At 42.8% G+C, this 15,576-nt stretch overlaps 1 long non-coding RNA gene across 3 annotated transcripts in view; it reads left to right on the top strand.

The window, feature by feature from the left end:
• LOC102724805 (uncharacterized) overlaps positions 1 to 15,576 on the top strand; it is a 40,267-nt gene that overhangs the window by 2,855 nt on the left and 21,836 nt on the right. The window contains exons 2-3 of one of the 3 annotated variants that reach the window (XR_940344.3): positions 314 to 477; positions 1,096 to 9,803. This is a non-coding gene — a long non-coding RNA (uncharacterized LOC102724805). Of the gene's footprint in view, positions 1 to 313; positions 9,804 to 15,576 lie in introns of those variants that run through there. The other 2 variants (XR_940345.3, XR_007087132.1) reach the window with 2 other exon arrangements.

Raw genomic sequence — 15,576 nt, 5'->3', positions numbered from 1 at the left:
TTTGTATAAACCACACAGGTAATGCCTTTTCTCTTTAAAGCCACATGTAATAGCAGCAAATCTTAAGATGAAATGGTTAAGAGGGGGAAAAAACTATAAATGAGGAAGTACTAAATGAAGGGAAGTGCACAGGTTTTGGATGATGGACCAGATTCAGGGTCTGATAAAAGTAAGATCAATCTACTTTATAACTTAATAACCCACTAAAAAGCCTTTTTTAAATTATAAGGGCCATACTAATCTCTGTATCTTGCCAGTTTTAGTATATGTGCTGCCAAAGCAAGCACTAAAAAGTCTTTTTTTTTTTAACTAGATTGCACTAGAAAGAACCACATGGGGTTTATTCTTCCCTCTTTCAAGAAACCTAATGAAATTGGGCTGAGATTCCAAGGAACTCCTGGAAAAGAGTTATCAGTGCCAGAATGAAAGATCCTAGAGGCAGAGCCCACCGTTCTACTCTATTTATAGTGGTGAAAGGTAAGGCCTGCACCTGCATGGGCTTTAAGTATTCACTCCCATGATAGTCCCAGTGTGGTCCAGCCTTAGAGGAAACAGAGGCAATGGGCACCATGGCAATTCACTTAATGCTGGTGTATTAGTCCGTTTTCATGCTGCTGATAAAGGCATACCTGAGATTGGGCAATTTACAAAAGAAAGAGCTTTAATGGACTTATAGTTCCACATGGCTAGGGAAGCCTCACAATCATGGCAGAAGACAAGGAGAAGCAAGTCACATCTTACATGAATGGCAGCAGGCAAAGAGAGAGAGCTTGTGCAGGGAAACTCCCATTTTTAAAACCATCAGATCTCATGAGACTTACTATCACAAGGACAGCACAGGAAATACCCACCCCCATAATTCAATTATCTCCCACCAGGTCCCTCCCACAATACATGGGAATTATGGGAGCTACAAGATGAGATTTGGGTGGGGACACAGAGCAAACCATATCAGCTGGGATGTAGGCACCACCAGGAAGATACATAGCCATCATTGTGTTCCTGCCCAGGCTTCAGTGAAGCAGGAAAAACTCTTGCTTTTTCCACTTCCTCATTTCCATTTCCTCTCCTTTCTCACTCTTACTTTCTTCAAAGTTTGTACATTTTGAAGATGATTTCCATGGAAGACTGTACAGAGCTACAAACTAGATGTTGGAATGGATTTGAGGATCCTGCCAGAGACTGAAGATGCTGGCTCAGATATATCTCAGAATAGAGTTTGGCTCTCCCTACTTTCATTCAACAGCTTCACTCATTTAGACCTAGCAACCCAACCTCACACCCTCCACTCTCACACCGTTAGAATGACCCTTTGGAGCCTCAACTTTTGACCTGCCTTGCTCCATCCCCTTTTCACAAGGGCAGGTTTATTGTCTACTGGCAATCTTGACTAGGGCCTTGGAAGAGGATTGGACCTTATTCACAGTGGTCTAGTGATCAAAACAAGTCATTGTTAATACATCAGTGTTACTACCTTGCTATGCATGTAACGCTGGAAAACAGCATAGTGCAGTCCATTTACCAAAACCAAATCTTACTGCTAGTTGACCAACACCATGTGGTACTGAGAAAAATGTGTATAGAACAACCCCTTACTGCTGTATAAAACCATTCCTTGCTTAAGGATCACCTGACTTTTGATATCTTTACACCAGTGATTGTCAACTTGGAATGATTTTTGCCCCTCCCCTCATGGGGATATTTGACAATGTCTGGACACATTTTTTATTGTCACAATTGGGAGAATTCTACTGGCGTCTAATAGGTTGGGGCCAAGGATACTGCTAAACATCCTTCAGTGCACAGACAGCCACATACACAAAGAATTTTCCCAACCAAAGGTCAATAGTGCTGATATTGAGAAACTGCCTTAAAGAATCTTCAGGTGAGACTACATGGGAGGTTCTGTTAGCAGTAGCGAATCCATACAGGTCTGCAGCAACCTCAATTCTTGCCTCCTCAGAAGAAAGAATTCAACCAAGGAGGCATTAGGCAATAGGAAAGACCAATGCAAGTTTTAGAACAGGAATAAAAGTTTGTTTAAAAGCTTTAGAGAAAGAACAAAAGGAAGGAAAGTCCACTTGGAAGAGGGCCAAGCAGGTGACTTGAAAGACGAGTGGTTTGACCTTTTGACTTAGGTTTTTATATGTTAACAAACTTCCAGGGCTTGCATTTTATTCTCCCCTCATTCTTCCTTTGGGGTGGGCTGTCTGTATGTGCAGTTGCCTGCTAGCCCTTGCAAGGGGAGCATGCATGGTGTGTTTACCGGAGTTGTACACATGCTCACTTGAGGCGTTCTTCCCTTACCAGTTGAATGTCCCTAGGAGGCCAGATACCAGTTCAGCTCTGCCATTTTGTCTCTTAATGCACATGCTTGAGCCCACTAGTGCAACTCCTGAGATCTTATTGGGAAGCTGTTGATTACCAGTTTCAGGTTTTTTCTATCTGTTGGGAGACTTCCTTTCCCTGGCACTGGCAGCAAACAATTATTATTTTAGAGAGGCAATTAACAGCTGCCTGACCATCACCTGATGGTCACCTGACATTCCTTTTAGGGGTTTGGGCAAGTGCTCTCCTGCCCTGTTCATGACCGACTAGCTACCCACTGTAGCATTTCTCCCCTCAAGATTCCAAGACCCCAATTCTTTGGGAAAAATGGATGATCAGTCTTCTGTAAATCCCTCCTGCTGATGGTGGGGCAGTGGTGGTTGTTCTGTGGGTCTTGGCCTGTTGCTAGCTGTCAGAGAAGGAGAGTGGCTCCATGGGTTGATGAGAGCACTATCCAGCCAGGTCCAAGGGAGGCAGGGGCAGAATTTTATCTCCATCATGTATCCCTGATGGACATCTAGGGGTCCCCTGTAAGAGGGTGACTCTTGAATATTGAGAGGATGGTATCCCTCTCTCAGGATTATCTGGAGCTTGATGGCCTGAAGATGAAAATAGACAAATTGAGTTATTAGATTTAGTAGAATGTTAAAATGAAATAAGGAGGTGAGGACAGCTCCAAAAAACCCCAAGCCTGCCGGCACACCCATGTAACTGGTGGCCATAGTCATGCCTGCCAAGACTTGGGTTTATTGGGTTGCTAGCCAGTTCCAGTATGTGCCCAGAATTAGAATATTGATCCAGATTTGTATGTTACCCATCCCTTTTGTTTCTTCTGAGCTGCAGCCAGAGATCACTAGCTGGTTCACAGGAATAAGGGTTAGTCTAAATTGCAGAGAAAAATTCAAAAACAGCTGATGAGACTAGAATCTAAGAACAGGTATACCATAGTTCTTGAAACATAATTTTCCAGACATGGTGGCTCATGCCTGTAATCCCAGCACTTTGGGAGGCCAAGGTGGGCAGATCACTTGAGTTCAGGAGTTTGAGACCAGCCTGGCCAACATGGTGAAACCCCATCTCTACTAAAAATACAAAAATGAGCTGGGCGTGGTGGTGGGTGCCTGTAATCCCAGCTACTCAGAAGGCCATGGCAGGAGAATCGCTTGAACCCAGGTGAAAGAGGTTGCAGGGAGTCGAGATCATGCTTCTGCACTCCAGCCTGGGCAATAGAGTGAGAGACTCCATCTCAAAAAAAAAAAAGAAAAAAGAAAAAAAATAAGAAATAAATAGAATTTTTCTCTCCAGTCCTCATTTTTATTAAAAACAAATCATGACAGGACAGATTTGTTTGCAAAATAAACTTTAGTCTTCTTATACTTGGCCTAATTATTTGCACAAAGCACAGCAAGAATAATTATTTCCCTTATAGGCTCCTTTTTAAATTGGCTTTGATGCAACTTTGTTCCATAAGGAATCTCAGATAAGACGTTTTTAAAGCCTTAAGCCCAGCCATGGGTTGGTGCCATCAAATACCTGTATGAATTGAATAAATTCCTTTCCTCTTGAGGTCCCCAGATAACCTGGGGCTCCTGGGCCTGTCAGAAACTGGTATTCTTTACTTACCACAGGTCAGGAACCCTGTACAGGGACCGTGTAGATAAGGTATGTTTTCCTAGGGGGGGCTTTTATTGGCTCTATAAGTCAAATTTGATTCCCTGAAGGAAAGCACACCATTACAGTTAAAGCCTTGGTAAAATAACCAGTGGCTTCAATTTTGTCATTGCAAAAGAAAACAGATTCTTATTGCACTTATGCAAATTACTATCTTGCCATAAGTTAAGAATACTCACAAATTGTTTCCAAATTCTGGGGAATCTGGAAGAGAGAAATATGCTGCAAATTTTGTTTACAGGGGTATACTTTGCTCATTTGTTAAAAATTGTAAATGGCTCAAAAGAAAAGCTTTCTAGGCTTTGAAAAACAAAGGAGCAGCCATGTTTTAAGCAAAAAGTAATAAGAGGATTGTTCTAGTTTTTTATTAGTTCAGTCCATGTAGTTAACTCCTATTCTGCTTGATATTCACAAACATTTTAGCTCTCCATGAGGGTCCTGAAAGATTTTTCCTCTATTCTAATGTCACAATATCCAAAGTTATCAGAAACCTGCATTTAAGAGCACCTGTTAGATTCCCATAGCTGATTATAAACTGCCTTCTAAAACAATCCTTTAACCATCTAAAGTAGGCAAAAAAATCCATATTCCCATGAGTTCTTATAACTTTTTCCCAAAAGCACATTCTACCTTCCTTACACACCTTCCATGTAAAACTATGTTTCCCATAGCCTCAAGTACATGTTACACTATTAAGTCTTAGCAATTTTTACTTTTGGTGAAAAACCTGGTGAGTAAGTGATTTTAATTATGTGCTAGGTTTGGAGCCTAGGACACCAGACAGAAGTCCAGATAAGGTCTGACTGTTTTCAGCATAGCTAGGGGGCATGGCTAACTCTGTATGTTCCCAGGCCTTACCTAGCTTTAAAGCAGGGAATTTGTACTGTTAAGAGCTATAGTGGCAGTTTGTGAAGCATTTAGATGGCATAGTAACCTTTAAAATTGTGTAGTAGTTCTTTCATAAATTCCCTTTCACAAATCTTTTTTAACAACTTACACAGACCACCTACAACATGCTTGGACTTTTTTACTTGTCCTAAACATCCCTCTTTTTAAACCACCAGTCATTTTACTTTAGGACAAGAATTTACCATACAAGATTTTTTTTTGTTCTACAATATCTCTTCTTTATAGCCTTCCTTACCAGAAATACCACTTTACCTTTATAACCTTTGAATTAGACAAAAGTCATTTTCCTTCTTTTAGAAAGTTAAGGTTTGTACCACATGTTGCTATGTGAGTCCTGTGGAGGGGGAGCAGATAAGGGGGTTATCTACCTACTGCAGAAGTTATCCCCCGCTCAAGAGTTTGCTCAGTTAGATTTTCACTAGAACTTGTCTGAATAAATGTGGGCTATTTCTAAACCCCTGAGGTAGGACTGTACCGGTTAAAGTTATTTGTTAAAGAATTACTTAATTTTGAGGGGAGAGATAGGACTATCAGAGAGAAAGATGAATTCAGAGGCTGGATAAATATTGAGTGAGCACCCATTTTGGAAAGTATATTTTTGCCCCAAAGAGGTGAGAGGACATTGCCAGGGACTGGTGGGAGAATAGTAATTGGTCCCTTAACTAATATAAAGGGGTGTGAATCTTTTCTTTTGGAGGGGGGTGCCATTTGCCCCTATTGCCTGACAGGATTTGGAAGAGAGTTTCTCAGAGAAAGATATTAGCACAGAGTAGGCAGCTCTTGAATCCAAAAGGGAAATTTATAATTTTACTTGCCACCTGCAGAGTTGCCCTCAGCTTTGTCCTGTTGATGATGATGTGTGATTTGGAAGGCAACTAGAGCAGAGACCACCTTCAGCTCAAGGTTATCAGGGGTTGGGATTCTGTCCCAAGGGCCCTTTGGCCCGTCAGGGCGGTCTCATTTCCAGTGGCCAAGCTTGTGGCAGAGAGGCAAGCCATTAGAGGCTTTTTCCCATTTATCCCATTAGGGCACTTTGCCTTCCAGTGGCCTGGCTTCCCACACCAATGGCAGTTACCTGGAGGAGTGCCCTTAGGGCAACCTGGAGGGAGTTGGTGGGCTTGCAGAGCAGCCAGTACTTGAGCCCACCTCCTTTCTCTGTGTTTCTCCTTTTTCTTAGCCTTGTCCTCCTTATTCTGCTGTCAGTTATAAAAGACTGAGGAGGCTAATCTGAGGACCTCCTGCACAGGGGTACTGAGTTCTAAGGCTGACTTTTGCAATTTCCTCCCAGTTCATTCTTAAGCCAAATAGTATTACAAAGGAAAACTAGTTTTTTGTTTTAAGGTTTGGGGGAATCAGACTTTTCCCAGTTTGAGGGGGCGCCTCCAAGGAGCATGATCTTTAATTTGGAGATGCTATTACCCATCTGCAAAAGGCAAACAGAGGAGAAAAAGGGGGGTAAAATTTTTCCTCCACTTTCCTATTATTCTGAATGAGGCATCCTCCATTGTCCTTAGGGTTCCAGAATAAACCAGTCTTACCATGTACCCTTGGTCCATCTCATCACAATTACCCACTTGAAAACAGAAGAGATACTGGAGTGAAAAGTGGGCCCTCTGTTCGTCCCTAAGGTTCTGGAATGAACTGGTCTTACTGTGTACCCCTAACCTTGCCTTCATCTCTGTTCTAATGGTAATCTGTTAGCCTAGGGCTAAACTTCATCTCTGTCCAATGGGTCTCTTGCACCTGCTGCCTTGGGCCAGCCTATATCCTTGTCTCCATGACCCTATAGTGACTCTCACTTCAGCATTTAGCAACAAAATGATTATCTATTTTCTTATATTCCCATTTCCATGTTCTTTAAGTAGATGAGAAGCCTGTTTTTCAGTTAACTGCCCCAAGGGGCTAGACTTCCCTCCCTGCAAATATGACCTTGAAGGTCTTGATGTATGTTAATAAGGGCATGGAAGTGGTTAGAGAAATGGAAGCTACAGGAGGAAGTGGGAGGAAGCAAGAGGAATACTCATGGAAAGCCTTCATATCCTCACAAAAACAGCAGCCCTTGGATTCAAGGGGGCAACATTTATTTGCCCTCTTGACATAAAGGAGTAAACTCCAGGGGACTTGGGGCTTGGGGTAAGAACTCGCAAATGGCAAAGGAAGAATTTATCCTCCTCCCAGTGGGTGCTTACTAAAAAAAAAAAAAAAAAAAAAAAAAAAAAAAAAAAAAAAGCAAGTAGGCAAGTAGGTGGGATCCTTAAAGGGCCAGAGTGAGGTCCTATGTAGGCAGACAAATTGCTTCAAAAGCCACTGGAAAACTTGGCCCTGGGGTGTAACAGGAACAAAAAGCATATAGTAAGTTATAAGGAGCTGGCAGAGCTACAGTTCCAATTAGTGTCTGTCCCAGCAATGTGCCAGCAGACAGGGGAAGGGTTGGAGGTCATCTGAGCTGGTAGGATAAAAACAAGTATAAATCTCAGGGGCTATCTGCAAAGGAGCCTGTGTCTTTTCTGCCATGAAAATTCAGCAAGAGCCGCGGACACATGAATAACAGGGAGTGTGTGTTTAAGAAGTCATGTGGCATGTGAAGTGAAAGCAAAGAGCCAGACTTGCCCCCAAGGCAGACTGTCTGGCTGGGTGTTCAAGGCCATTTCAGAACACACAGAGAAAATAGAAGAATAGGCAGTGCAGGTTCTTGGGGAAAAGCTGATTTTAGTTGAAAAAGCAGAGGAAAACCCAGACATTGCACAGTTTTAGACTTTAGCCCTACCACTTTCATGAGCCTCCTGCCCAGGAGGGCCATTAGTTCTACTCAGTGTGGACCCCAAGGTCCTTCCCACTCCCGTGAGCTACCCATCAGGGTAAGCTGAGAGATCAGCTGGGGGGAGTAGAGCCACTGTAGCTGAGAGGAATTGTTTGTGGGGTTGGTTAGTAAGCAAGAGAGCAAAAAGGAGGAGGAAACCATGTAGACGGGTTGAATGCCTCCAGCTGAAGCAGGCAAGGTGTATAGGTCTTGTACTACTAGGGAACTTATCCGAGTCATATAGCACCAAAGTATGTTAGCAGTGGCAAATTCATACAGGTCTACAGCAACCTCAGTTCTTGCCTCCTCAGAAGGAAGAATTTGACTGAGGAGATGGAAGGCAGGAGAGATCAAGGCAAGTTTTGGAACAGGAATGAAAGTTTGTTTAAAAGCTTTAGAGAAGTTACAAAGGGAAGGAAAGTCCACTTGGAAGAGGGCCAAGTGGGTGACTTGAAATATCAGTGCGTGGTTTGACCTTTTGACTTAGGGTTTTATATGTTTGCATAATTCCAGGGTCTTGCGTTCGTTCTCCCCTGATTCTTCCCTTGGGGTGGGCTGTCTGCATGTATGGTGGCCTGCTAGCGCTTGGGAGGGGAGCATGCACAGTGTGTTACTGGAGTTGTAGGCATGCTCACTTGAGGAATTCTTCCCTTACCAGTCAGATGTCCCTAGGAGGTCATATACCAGTTCAACTACACCATTTTGCCTCAATGTGCATGCTTGAGCCCAGTCGCCCAACTCCTAATATCTTATCATGAAGCTGCTGATCACCAGTTTCAGGTTTTTTCTGTCTGTTGGGAGACTGCCTTTCCCTGGCATTGGCTGCAACCAATTATTTTAGAGAAACAGCACTGCCTGAACATCACCTGATGAGCCCCTGACATTTTTGGTGGGGGTTGTGGGGAGCCCTCTCTTGCCCCGCTCATGCCTGACTAGCTACCCACTATAACACCTCATCTATCTTGTGCAGCTTGTTTCATCTGTTTCATCCATTCCCAGAACTCCCAAGTGATCACCTTCTCCAGACCTATCTTACCCCCAAGGAACTCCCTAGCTCTCAGTACCCCCACCCACATTGGTTGTTCCTTGTTTGCCAAAGCACTCTCTGGAGCTCACCTGTTTGTCAGTGTTGTCATTTAGTTCCATCCATTTGTTTTCTCTGGATGGAGCTGGAGGAAACTTCAGATCCATATGGGCAGAAGAGGAGAAAGATGAAGGAAACCAAGCTTTGCCAGTTTGGTGAGGTAGGGGTGAGGAGCAGACATTCACAAAAAAGATCATTCCTTTCCACGCTGGCAGAGGAATCAGCTCTAGCCCTGATGCCTGCACTGTTGCCAAAGGGCTCCATCTCTGTTCAGTCTTGAGCATCAGCCTAACTTACCAGTTACCAAGCCCTGAAAAGAGGGAATGGATGTGCATCCCACCTCAAGGAGGAGGTGAGAGGAAGAAAACAGACTATTCTGCCACTTGAGTATATACATTCTGTAGAAAAGTCAGAGGGGCACTTTCTAAGACTGGACCACACATCCATGGACCTTGTTGAGTCTGCGAAAATGATACACCAAGATAAAGGTTGCAGAAGAAAAGTTTTCTCTGACCTTCCCCTGCCCTCCAATCTCTGGCTGCTCATTCTCCCCCAGGATAGTCACAGAAACTAGAATCCCTCTTCCCCAAGGCAGGTCATAGAAACCAGAACCCCTTTCCCCAAAAGCAAGCCATAAAGCCTAAAAATATTACTCCAACTTTCCCCCACCTTTCTGTGTGAAAAATTGGCCATAAAGAAATTACCTGACCTACCATGTTAGGGATAACCATTCCAGAGAGGTTCCTGCCCCATACCCAGAAGGAAGGAATGCTCCACAGAGAGACCAAGAGTCATCTAAGCAGACAGGCCTTGCTGGGTTTCCCCACTCAGTCTGTTAGCATTAGATCATAACCTTTATGTACGATCATATTTCTACATGGCTATCCATAGTTCTTGAACCTAAGCATAAAAATGGGCAGTTTCCTCTGTATTTTTGAGTCTTCATTCTGAAGGCTCCCATGTCGTGTAAAATGATGATCAAATACATTTGTACTCCTTTTCTCCCATTAATCTGTCTTGTGTCTGTTGATTTTCAGTGACCCTTCAGAGGGTGAAAGGGAAGCTTTCTCTGGGCCCTTAAAACCTTCACAAGGCTGGCTCCCTTACCTTATTCAGGTTTAGCCACAGAGGTCTTCCCTGATTTACTAATAAAGTACCACTGCCCCAATCCTCAGCCCTCCCATCTCCCCCTCACTCCCATCAAATTATCCTATTGTGCTCTGTCATCATCTTGTTATCAAGAAAGAAAAATAGCTTAGAGCTCTCTGAGGAATGTGAGGTATGTAAAATGTATCAGGCCCAGAGAGTATGGGACTTCAGTCTTCCCATCTTCTCCTGCACCCATTCCCAGAGGCAATTGTTTAAAAGCATTTTGTTTTTTCTTTCCTTTCCTGTAGTTTCATAATGTAACCCTCACCCATTATCTTCATATTCCTGGAACTTGTCATACAAAGAACAACATATAGGCAATCACCAATCAACATTATTTCTGTAAACCAATGAGAATCCTTGACAAACAACTTCCTATCAGTCCACTCCTTATCCCTCCTTTAGGTCTATAAAAACCTGCCTGTTAACAAAGGTTGGATGGAGCTCACATCCAAGGTTACTTGGGTCTGAGTCTTCTGGGCAGCTCTCCTCCTCATGGCTCAAGTAAGCTCTTTAAAATGACATTTTGTGCCTCACCTTCTTGCTTTAAATCAACATTATGTTTTTATTTATTTACTTATTTATTTATTTTTGACACATGGTTTCACTCTGTTGCCAAGGCTGGAGTGTAGTGGCACAATCATGGCTCATTGCAGCCTCTACCTCCTGGGCTCAAGTGATCCTCCACCTCAGCTTCCCTAGTAGTTGGCACTACAGGTGCATACCACCATGCCTGGCTAATTTTTGTATTTTCTTTGTAGAGATGGAGCTTTACCATGATGCCTAGGCTGGTCTCAAACTTCTGAACTCAAGCGATCCACCCACCTCAGCCTCCCAAAATGCTGGGACTACAGGTGTGAGCCACCATGCCTGGCTGACATTATGTAATCTTTTGTTTGTTTGTTTATTGCCTATACTTTGCCATTCTAAAATATAAGCAGAAAACTCACCTGGATCCCAGCATTTGCAGAATGAATGAACTCAGGGTACCAGCCCTTAACACCTCCTTTCTTTCATCCTCCAACTCCCCACCTTCAGCCTCGTGCTACCTCAGTCAGCCTGGAATTTCTCGCTCTTTCTAGCTCACAAGCAATTTCACATTTAATAATCCTACCAAGAAACTATGATTTTAAAAACTGGACCGAGATAACTCCATCCAACATGCTTCTCCTTCTGCATTTCTGGAACAGTTTGCCATTTATAAAGCACACCATTGAATCTATTGGGTGCTCTATACAGTGTTTCTGATATCTTTTACAGCAACTATTTTCTTGCTGGTCTCCCCAACGTCACGCCCAGTGAGAGCTTATAGGGAAGGAGTTGCTAAGGCCACTGGGCCTAGGGCAACATCACACAAAGGCAGGTGCAAGTTAGAGAGGAACAGACCTGAGGTCAGCTATCTTTGTTCTCTTCACTAGAAAAGCAGGGCAAGTCTTGATTGCCATTTAGATATGGACTGACATATAGTACTACTCATGGAAAAGGAAGATTCAGGAAATGAAAATTGTTTTTATTATTTCAGGGAGGATAAAAGCAAAACAAATTGCTAGCTCTCTCAGGATGTTTTTCTTATGTTGTTTAGAAAGTTCAGGCTCTCTCAGCCTTCAATTTTTATGTCAACTTCCCACCATGACTTTGTACATTTTTTTAATGACCAAACGTTTGTTAGCAATAAGGCTAAGTGTCTAAACATTTAATGCTGTTAAGGAAAAAAATTACTCATGCCACTTGTGAAGAATGGTAAGGCAGACTTTTTCAAGAGGAGCCATGGTGATAGGTATAGGGACCACTGCAAATGGGTCTTGCAGTGGGAGAGGGAGACTGGACTCAATTCCAACTCCAAAAAGGACAAGCAGGGATTTATAATCAAGGAGCAGGGCCCGAGCATAGTGGCTCATGCTTGTAATCCCAGCACTTTGGAAGGCCAAAGCAGGAGGATCCCTTGAACCGAGGAGTTCAAGACTATCCTGGGCAACACAGTGAGATGCTGTCTCTACAAAAAAATAAAAAATTAGCCCGGCATGATGGAGCATACCTGTAGTCCCAGCTTCTCAGGAGGCTGAGGTGAGAGGATCACTTGAGCCCAGGAGGTTGAGGCTGCAGTGAGCTATGATCAAGCCACTGCACTCCAGCCTGGGTGACAGTGAGACCCTGTCTCTAAAAAAAAAAAAAAAAAAAAAGGAGCAGGGTGGGAGCCAGTGGATAGAAAATTACTAAGGGGAAACATCAAGGATAAGGGTTTCTGGCTAAACTGACTTGATAGGATTATTGCTGAAGGCAGGCTAGGGTGATAAGATATTGAGGCTGGTCAGATACCAAGGGTGCATAGTTTTGCTAAACTGACTTGGAAAGTTTCTTGCTCAAACTGGATTCTATAAGCACAGAGGAAAAAGCCCAAGGTCAAACCTAGTCAAAAAGGACTCTAGGAGCCTCAATAAAGTTTTGGTCAAAGGATAGAGTCTTTGTAAATGCTATTGCCTCAGGACAGTCTGTTTTTAACTTTTGGAAAATATCAGGGAGAATAAGGAAGCCAAGTGGTCGAGGAACTTTTTATTAACCATCTCAGTTGATTATTATAATATGTTTAGTTAGAGCACAGAACATGGTGGAGGTACTTCAGGGTGGTTTAGGTTGTAAAAGGAATAACAAATGAAGTCTGAGAAAGAGAGAGGACCTAGATGTTTTTATTTTCAGCACAGCTACTGACTGGCTTTGTGACCTTAGTGAAAGCCCTTCATCTCTCTAAACCTCACCTTCCTCCTATTAAATGAGAGTTGAACTCATACAAACATAGAGTTCAAGGGTGGTGGGGAGTGGGGTATGGGGGAATGAAAGTTGAAGTAAATTATCTCTACGGTCTCTTCCAACATTAACATTTTACACAACTGTTTCTGATAGATCATTCCATTTAACCCATATTTACAGAGGATAAAGCATAGGGTGAGATGTAAAGGCAGAGTGTACCCTAAGTCCCATCTCTGAGCTATAGGGGATCCTGCTTTCCCCAGTCAGAAGAATTCATCACTGACTCCTTACCTGTGACATAATTCTGCAAATTCTGCAGGACTCCAGATGGGGTTCCCACAGCCCATTCTGCTGAATATTACCCAGGAATAAAAATGTATACAGTAAACTTTAAAAAACTTAAAAGACTAATACAAGTGTAACAATGGCTATTCCCTGCAAGAAAGAAAAAAAATGATAGAGTGTAGGAGATCCCACCATCATTCCTTTTAATGCTCTCAGCCAGCTTCAATTCCCATGAGACTCAGTTTGAACATTTTGAGGCCCCAAATGTGAGTCTCATGTTCAACCTGATCCCTAATGCATGAGCCAACAACTTCACTTGGTGCTGGCAGTGTGTTAGTACCTGGAAGAAAAACTGGCTGCTGTGGACCTAAGGAGGGGCTCAACAGGACTCTCCAGCATGCTATTTTCAGGGGAATTTTCAATATTAATTTTCCTGATAGTTGAATTTCATTATCTGCACTGAAATTAGAACTTAAACCCTGGTTAAAATGAGGCTCTACTATTAGCCAGGCATGGTGGCAAATGTCTGTACTCCCAGCTACTCAAGAGGCTGAGGCAGGAGAATTGCTTGAACCCGGGAGTCAGAGGTTGCAGTGAGCTGAGATCTTGCCACTGCACTCCAGCCTGGGCAATAGAGCGAGACTCCAGCTCAAAAAAAAAAAAGGCTGTACTCTATGTCCTTTATTGCTCCTGCTGCCATCTTCAATAGCAGTTCGATTCCAGTTATTTTCTGTCACTGTAAAAGTTGTCAGAATCAAAATAGAGTCACTTGTGTTAAAAACCCTGAGAAATGGAGCCAGGGAAGGCCGCGAAAGGAGGGTTCTCACATACAAATGCCAGATAACAAGAACTCTCACAAAATAACCCTGAAAAAAGCACAACTTTGCAAAAGGGCCATTGCAAACTTTCACAGAAGTATTTTGTGTGTGTGTGCCCAGCAACTGTCTGTCCCACCTCATTGTTGTTATTGATCCTTGTAGCCAAGGATAATTATCTCAAGACAATTCTGTAATCCTCATTTTTCTTCTAAAAACTATCTGTTCTTCTAAATATGCTCAACTGCCCAGGCTGGCTCATGTGATATGCTCTAGATAACAAATGATACAGCCACCAGTAGGGGAAGGGCCCCAGGTATGCTGGCCCTTGGAAGCTGAACACAAGTTTCTGCCCGTTATAAAGTCCATTGTTCCCTCTCCTTAAGGAAATCTCCCCTTCCTTGTTCCCATAGAGAACAATGTCTTCTCTCTCTCTCTCTCTCTCTTTTCCTCCTCAATCTACACAGCCTAAGCAGAAGGTTTTCATTCAGTTGCCTCATCTATTCATTCAACAAACATTTGTGGAGCACTTACTACATGCTGGGTGCAGCTCCAGCTTCCAGGAATACAGCAGGGGGCCACAGAGACAAATGCAGCCGATTTTAAAGCTCACATTCAGTTCCGTGCCTCAGTTGCCATGGCCCAGGCACCTTCCAGTGGAAATGATTCTGTTCCCTCACTACCTCAATGGTGGATAATGCTATTGAAAGAGAATTTCTTTAAGACAAAATATAACTCTCATACAGATAAAAAATAAACACATGTTAATACTTTATTGAACTCATTAATAAGGAATCTGGTGAGGTGTTTCAACTAGTTTAAAGAAGTTCTAAAAAATCACAAATTATATGGAGTAAAGAAATGTTGAAATGAATGTGCCAATTGGGGAAACAAAGCAAGCTTGCTCCCTGTATTAGTCTGTTTCCACACTGCTATAAAAATACTACCTGAGACTAGGCAACTTATAAAGAAAAGAGATTTAATTGACTCACTGTTCCACATGGCTGGGGAGGCCTCAGGAAACTTACATTCACATGGAAGGCAAAGGAGAAGCAAGTACCTTCCTCACAAGGTGGCAGGAGAGAGAAAGACCAAGGAAGTGCCACACTTTAACATCATCAGCTCTTGTGAGAACTCACTCACTCTCATGAGAACAGCATGGGGGAACCTCCCCCATGATCCAATCACCTCCCATCAGGTCCTTCCCTTGACATGTGGGGATTACAATTTGAGATGAGATTTGGGTGGGGACAGAGAGCCAAACCATATCACTCCACAATAAGACAAGGAATTCAACTGAACCTCTGCCATACAAAGCAGATGTTGCACGTCTTTAGATAAAAATTATTTCATATTGCTGTTATTTGTTCATAATTTACAAAACTGAAAAATAGCTTTCATGGAATCAGATAACCTGGAAGGCTGTCCTGCACAGTTCAGATAAGGCAAAGTTTTCTACTGAAGTATGAAATTTTCCCTACAATGCCAACTTCAAGATTCCCATGTACCTATCTCTTCAAAGCTGCAGGAAGCTATTAGAGGATTTCACAAACTCAGCAGTACGGACATTTTGAGCAAGATAATCCTTTTTTTTAATTAAAAAGACTTTTTTTTTTTGAGACAAGATCTCACTGTGTTGCCCAGACTGGCCTCAAACTCCTGGGTGGAAGGGATCCTCCTGCCTCAGCTGGTATTTTACAGTAAACAAATGAAAGCTGATTTATGATGTTATTCTAGTTAAAGTTTATCCCAAACTACATCAATTCCTTGGAAATATCTGTATTTCTTTG

This window comes from Homo sapiens, chromosome 2 (assembly GCF_000001405.40).
Source record: "Homo sapiens chromosome 2, GRCh38.p14 Primary Assembly".
In the NCBI taxonomy this organism is placed as follows: domain Eukaryota; kingdom Metazoa; phylum Chordata; class Mammalia; order Primates; family Hominidae; genus Homo; species Homo sapiens.
The sequence above is the reverse complement of the archived record's forward strand: the minus strand, read 5'-3'. Positions and strand labels throughout refer to the sequence as shown.